This window comes from Homo sapiens, chromosome 5 (assembly GCF_000001405.40).
Source record: "Homo sapiens chromosome 5, GRCh38.p14 Primary Assembly".
NCBI classification, from domain to species: domain Eukaryota; kingdom Metazoa; phylum Chordata; class Mammalia; order Primates; family Hominidae; genus Homo; species Homo sapiens.
The window spans coordinates 41,581,790-41,589,361 of NC_000005.10; the positions used below are offsets into that span (position 1 = coordinate 41,581,790).

At 41.7% G+C, this 7,572-nt stretch overlaps 1 pseudogene, besides 1 other annotated feature; it reads right to left on the minus strand.

Moving 5' to 3' along the window:
• TCP1P2 (t-complex 1 pseudogene 2) lies at positions 3,978-6,129 on the minus strand (annotated as a pseudogene).
• Positions 5,907-6,040: a silencer, noted in NCBI's record as "fragment chr5:41587798-41587931 (GRCh37/hg19 assembly coordinates)". NCBI's record gives its function as "represses an EF-1alpha promoter that drives an FKBP-Casp9 reporter gene in an ReSE screen in HepG2 liver carcinoma cells and K562 erythroleukemia cells {active_cell/tissue: HepG2 | K562}" and the evidence as "EXISTENCE:reporter gene assay evidence [ECO:0000049][PMID:32094911]".

Consider the following 7,572-nt stretch of genomic DNA (forward strand, 5'->3'; position numbering starts at 1 on the left):
CAGTCCATTGGGAAAGGAGAGGTAGAGGCTTAAATTATGTTCCAAAATCCACTTCAGGCCTAGATTGAAAAGATCATAAGAGATCTGAAATGAAGAATTTTTCAGGAAAATTGCCCTTTACATTCAGATCACACCAGATTTCATTTAAACCTCAGCTGTTTCAGTTTTTCCTTTCCAAAAGTTCTTCTCAACAATTTCTCATATTCTCCAGCTTCTGTATGACTTTTAGAACAGTTATTTTAACCGTGAGCCTGTCATGATGTTCATTATGCTACCCCACCCCTTCATACTGACGGGGTCCTCGAAGTGATGGTCCGAATATTGACGATGTCTATCATCAACCTTTTTTTTCCTAATTCCCCTTCTGATCAAGATACATGATCCCTACCTAGGGATATTAAATATTTTAAAAGGTAAGTTTGCTTTTAATTTATTTAACAAATGCTTAGTTCCTTAATGTGTGCCAAGTATCATCCAAGCCCTTTAGCCCTTTGCAACTATTAATTCATTAGCAACACTAGGAGATAGGTACTATGATTAACCCACTTTGTAGATGAAGAAGCTAAGTATAAAAAGTTTCATGGGCCGGGCGCGGTAGCTCATGCCTGTAATCCCAGCACTTTGGGAGGCCGAGGCTGGCAGATCACCTGAGGTCAGGAGTTTGAGACCAGCCTGGCCAGCATGGTTAAACCTTGTCTCTACTAAAAATACAAAAATTAGCTGGATGTGGTGGCTCACGCCTGTAATCCCAGCTATTCGGGAGGCTGAGGCATGAGAATTGCTTGAAACTGGGAGGTGGAGGTTGCATTGAGCCGAGATCATGCCACTGTACTCCAGCCTGGGTGACAGAGCAAAACTCTGTCTAAAAAAAAAAAAAAAAAAAAAAGTAGTTTCATGTAACCTGGCCAGGCACGATGGCTCATGCATGTAATCCCAGCACTTTGAGAGGCTGAGGCAGGTGGATCACCTGAGGTCAGGAGTTTGAGACCACCCTGGCCAACCTGGTGAAACCCCATCTCTACTGAAAACACAAACATTAGTCGGGCATGGTGGTGGGCCCCTGTAATCTCAGCTACTCAGGAGGCTGAGGTGGGAGAATCTCTCGAACCCTGGAGGCTTGCGAAGTTTGCAGTGAGCCAAGACTGTGATGCTGCACTCCAGCCTGGACAACAAAGCGAGACTCTGTCTCAAAAAAAAAAAAAAAAAAAAAAGGAAATTTCATGTAACTTAACATCTTCTCTGATATGGCTAATAAGTGACAGGGCAGGTATTTTAATCCAGGCTCTGAAATTTGTTTAACCCCAAAACCATGTTTCCTTCAAACATTACAAAATTAACTTATCCACAAAGGAATTGGAGACATGACATTGACCTTATTAGCAGCTAAAGATCATTAACAGTTTAATTCTCTGGAGCTCAGCTTTGTGGAATTTTATATAGCAAATTTGCAGTACAAAAAACCATTATCTGCTAATTACCAACATCTACTCATGCCTGATCCAGTTAAGTGAGTCTGCCTCTTTATTTTTTCATTTATTTATAAAAGCGTGTGCAGAGAGTGCTGTATTCAGGCAGTCTTCAAGGTGCTGGAGATACCAACAGGCATAAGTTTATGATATCTGAGGAGGCGTGTCTAATCTGGTCCTGAGGGTCTCAAGGAGAGGTTCTTGGAAGAGAAACCTGTACGTTCCATGGAAGTGGATCATGTAGGGAGGAGGGTGGTGATTAGGGGAGAGCTGGCTCCTGGAGTGGGGATAATGTGCCTAGATCCCAAGGCAGGAAACTGCATGTTGAGTACAGCTATCACATAGGAAGCGTCTGAGACTGGAGTCTAAACTTCAACTGTCTAATTTGATACTCACCAGCCACATGTTGATATTTAAGTTTAAATTCATTAAATAAAGTACAATAAAAATTAAGGTTCTCAGTTGCACTAGCCATATTTAATTGCTCAATAGTTACCTGTGGCTAATGGACACCTTACTGGACAGTGAAGATATAGAGCAATTCCATCATCGCAGAAAGTTCTGTTTGGACAGCACTGCTCTAGGGTACTGAGCCTAGGGTACTGTTTAAAAATGTTAATTTTTAAGTTAAACCTGCAAGTAATGGAACAAAATCTCTGGGAATGGGACTTGGGAATCTGAACACTGTAACATGTCTGCACATAATTCTGATTGGAAACCAGATGTGTAAACTGTAATAGAAGGTGCACTGACTGACTAAAGTGGTAGGAGAGGCAGAGACAGTTCACAAAGAGTCTTTGAATATTAATCTAAGAGACCAGGATTTAAATATAAACATGAAGAGATCCTTTGAAAGGAAAGAAGGAAGAAATTCTATTAGATTAGCATTGTCCAAACATTTCTCCATTCTGTTGCTAGAATGGTCTTCACAAACCTCAGACCTCCTCTTGTCAATAACTTTCCCCTGGTCAGTCTTTCTATTGCTTTTAGCTAATAACCCAAATCTCTGACATGACCTGCAGACATTACTATCTCAAGGATCTTTTAGAACCCTGACTCCCCCCTTCTCCCAACTGCACCATGAACCTGGGCAGTGATCTCAAACTTCTGTCACTTTCCTTTCAAAGATCAAAAATCATTGTGCGTAGCTGTCCATCAGGCTGTAGGCTTCCTGAAGGCCAAGTCTGTGTCATTATCTGCCCAGCACCCAGCAGAATGTCTAGCTCATAATAGTTCATAACAAGTATTTCACAAATATTCAGGTATAGTCACAAAATGAATGGATCCATAGAGATTCTCAGTGAAGATCCCTCATTGGCCTTTTATTAAATCTGTGAGCTAGTTTGATTTTTCTGTCTCAAAAAGCAGAATGAAACTCATCAGGAAGCTCATTTGTCCAAAAGAAGAGCATCTGACAAACTCTGGGCTAGCTCTTCTGGAAATGTCAGTTCTCTGAAGATGAATTCTTGAAAAGATTGTCTTATACAGCTATCCCCTTTTCACCTAATTCCACTACAATGCAGCAGCTTTAATGCAGTAATATAGATTATTATTATAAATGGCATCAAATTCCAAATTCTATGTTAAATCTCTACTTTACCTTCCTTTATCACTCAGGATCTGGATGATCACTAATTACACCAGCCACTTCTTTCTCTATACTCTTGTGTCCTGGGTGAAGCACACAATTTGAATTTTGTTACAATACCCTTCATCACCCTTGGACTATCCATGTGTGTGTCTGCCTGACCTTCCCATGGTCAAGTGAGCAGGCAGGAATGCAGTAAGTCATTCCCTGATGTTAACAAATTGAACTGCTTTGCTTTCTTCAGAAAACTCTTCGATTACTAACCTCCCTGCAACAGATAGGATAGCCAAGCTCTGAAATAGCCTCAGGCTACCCTAATAATGTTCTGCTTTAGCCAAGCCAATCTTTTCACCATCTCTAAAACCTTCCACATCTTTGCTCATTGTGATGCCTACATAATTCATTCACTCCTTCCTTTTCACTTAGCTCTGTGATGAAGTTTCTTCATGAAACCTCCTAGTGACTCCAGTTACTAGGGGTGTGTCTTAACTCAGGTTTTCAAGTGTAGCATCTAAGATTGAGATTCTTGTAAAACTAATTTAATGAGGGTATGCTCTCTACAGAAGAGGAGTTAAGGAAGGAAGCAAGACAGAACAAGAGAGGAAAGGTAAACAAATATGGGTCCTGCCTAGATATTAGCTTCTACTTTATCCCACAGGGAGCTGTTGAATATGAATTTTATCACAGTACTGTTTCTTCCTTGAGGGGGGGTGGTCAATCTTTCATGCCCTAGTATCAGTGAGTTATGGGCCACTGGCTTTGGTGGGAGCCTATGGTATAAACACTTCAATTGAGATAGTTTCCTTTTACCTAAGGCAATCCTCTACAGAATTCTCCTAGAATAGTTCTCAGAGCAGCTAGGGGACATGGGAACAACCAGTGAAGAAAATCTGGGTGAGGCACCACTATAGTGTAAATTTTCTTTGACAGCTTGCTATACTTTAATGTATAATACTCAATTCAAGGTACGAGACAATTGCATCTAACATTGTTATAAATCAAAGAGACATCAGATCAGTTATCAAGGGCTTCAGAACATCAAGGGCCCCAGTTATGAGCAGCATCTTCATACCCTCCATGTTTAACATCTTTACTTTCTGGGTATAATTTAATAAGATCATCAATTTGAAGAATGGTAACTGCAGCTTCTGTTGCAAATTTCAAACTCTTAACTTTAACTGTGGTTGGTTCAAACACCCCTGCTTGTTTGTTGTGTCTAGGTTTACCATTTCTCAAATCAAGACCAATTCATTTTAGATTTTTACTTTCTGGGTTAACTTGAGCCTCATTATGAAAAGCCCTTAAACTATGCAACCAGATCTGTGGAGTTCTGGGCAGCATTAACTGTCAGTGAATAACAGGAAGAGGTCTTGCAGACTCTGCAATAGCAAGCTGTTCCTGAGACTCCATGCTGGTTTCACAGTTTTCGGGGTATATGGAAAAGGCTGCTTCTACAGCATCCCCAACTAGCATCATGGATTTTGACTCCAAAACTTTCTTCACTATGCAAAGAGCATCATGTAGAGTGCTCCATCTCATCACATACGAAATCATTTGCCCCATGTAAGATAATTGATGCAGATGCACAAGCCTTACTGGTTTTGATTAAGATCAGCTCATCATCACAAATTCTCTCCTGTACCACTTCTTCCACCTGTCCCGACACTGCAGTTTCAAAAGTTTCTTCACCCTTCAAATTGGCCAGGGTTGACAGAACAGTCCCTCCAGAAGTTTCAGCAATGCATTTAAGGTCCCTTTTTAAAGCTCTTCTAATTGCCATAGCCCCAACCTCTACAAAATACTTTGACACATATCATCAATTCCACCAGCTATTAGAATAATATTGGCATCAGTTGCCAGGATCTTCGGAATTCTCTCCTTGATAATATCTGATTCTTTCTGTCTAATTTGGTCCAGTTTTTCAGGGTCTGTAATGACCACCTGTACATCAAGTATATTAGTCCATTCTCACACTGTTATAAAGAACTGCCTAGACTGGGTAATTAGTAAAGGAAAGAGGTTTAATTGACTCACAGTTTTACAGGGCTTGGGAGGTCTCAGGAACTTACAATCCTGGCCGAAGAGGAAGGAAACATGTCCTTCACATGGCAGCAGAAAGGAGAAGTGCAGAGGGAGAAGGGAACAGCTCCTTATAAAACCATCAGATCTTGTCAGAACTCAGTATCATGAGAACAGCATAGAGTCCCTCCCCCAACATATGGGAATTACAATTTGGATTACAATTCAAGATGAGATTTGGGTGGGGACACAGAGCCAGACAATATGGCAAAGCTTCATTTTTGTTTTTTTACAGGCTAGAGTTAAGTCAAGCAATTTCCGCATTAACAATTATTTTGGGCATGCCCTGGGATCCCACCACACAGCTGAGTGCATACCCACTGATCAGCATACTCTCTATCTGACTTCTCGCATGGGCTTTCAGAATATTAACAGAATTGGCTGGATAGCGAGGCTGGCCTCTTAATATCTGTGTATGTAGTAACAAGTACAGTATCTGCTACTATATTAGCAAATAAATCACCATTTATTCCAATGATTTTGGAAGACATCCATGTCTCAGTGGAATTAATCAGGCAATCTCTTCCCAGTTCATCTGTGTAGATAATTAAGTTTTAACGGATATAACGCAGGGCTTCGCATTGAGGTAGTTCCATCTCCAACTTCTTTGTCTTGCAGGTCAGCCAGCTCACAAAGAACTTCAGCTGCAGGATTGTTCTACCTCCGGTAACCTCAGAATGGCTGCACCATCATTAGTAATGGTTACATCACCAACATCATCCACCAACATTTTATCCAAGCCAACTGGACCAAGAGAACTTTTCACAGTATTGGCAATTGAAGCTTAAGCCATAACGTTCTGGGAGCGGACCACCTCCCCAGTGCTGCGGTCTTGGTCCCCGAACACGGACAAAGGCCCCTCCATCTTCAACGCAGGGGTATACGTCGACTTCCACTCACACACACCGCGGGCAACCAGTATCATCTCACCTCAGCCAACCAGCGACCAGAGCAGTGATGCGTGGAGCCGACCCGCATGACGCCACAGGGGCTGCTGGGTAACACCCCTACACCAGCTTCCCAGCTCCCCCAACGCTTGGCCGCAGGACATGGCAGGAAAGCTAGTGTGAATTTTTAACTTGGGCAAAAATTTGTTTTTGGAGGGCATGGGAGGGAGGAAACTTAGACATTGCAATGCTTCATGGCTCTCCAAAGGACCAGTGTATAAAGAGATGTGCAATGTATCAACGTTTTATGGGAGGAGGGAATAAATAGGGGGAAAAAGTCTGAAAGCTCCTTAGGGGGGTAATGATAGAAAAAAAAAGGTTGAGAAACACTGCAATATGGGGTGCAGTCTGTTTGTTCTCTGAAGTCCTAATGCATTGATTTTCACATCAATTGATTGTACATGTGCTATTTGTTTTGTATTCCCCTCAGTGCATAGTACATCAGCATATAACAGTTAATAGTAGTGGTCCCCTGCTTCTGGAATTTATACACAGCAGCTTCCCAGGCCATGGAAGAAATTCCACCTGGATCTGTTTATTTCCTTCTTGAATAGAAGATGAGATTTTCCCTTCATGTTCTCATCTCCGTCTAAAGTGTTTAAGTTCAAAACTCTCAATTCCTGAAGTTGGAGGTTACAGTGCGCTATGATCACTCCACTGCACTCCAGCGTGGGCAACAGAGTAAGGCTCTGTCTCTAAAAAATAAAAATAAATAAAAAATAGAAAATAAACATAAAACTCTCAGTTTAGGGTTTAAAAATATTTGATGTTGGTGATCAATAAACTTTATCCATTCTAATATACTTCCTGAAAAGTCAGTCTTTCTTGCCTTTCCCACTTCCTCTGCGTGTTTCTCTCCAGTTCTCATTAGTTTCCCCATTTCCCCTCTTTCTACCAGCTTTCAGTGTGAGTTAATCTTTCCAATCTGAAAATCTGGCCCTGTAAATTTGCATCTGCTGATTATTGAGATATATCTTTCAGCTTCAAACCCACCTTTCCACATTTGCATTGCGATGCTGGGTCTGGGACTCTTCCAACCATTGTCTCCCCTTTGCTGGATGTCTCCCAGTTCAGCTCTCCCTAAAGAAGGTACAAAAAGGGATGCTGAGGGTAGGCAGAAGGAAAAGACATGTGTTCCTTGCTAAGTGGACACTGCTCCCACCAGGTTCACCACAGCAAAGCAGTTCACCTGAGCAGTGGCAGTGGATCTGGCTTCCAATTTTTCCACACTCATAGAACTAGCTTCATTGTACCCTTTAAAGACACCAGCACTGATGGCCCCATGTTACCTCCAATAGGGGTCTGAGTCCCAACTCTGTTAAGCCCCTTTCCCAAGTACCTATTCCAACCACTTCCCTTTGTTCCTCCAGCATTTACTAGATCTGGGTCACCTCCATGCTTCTTTTTTGCCTTTTCAGCTCCCAATTCCTTAAATTCTCTCAGTTAAAATAACTGCTAAGATTTCTGTTTTTTTGACTAGACTCTAGGCCCC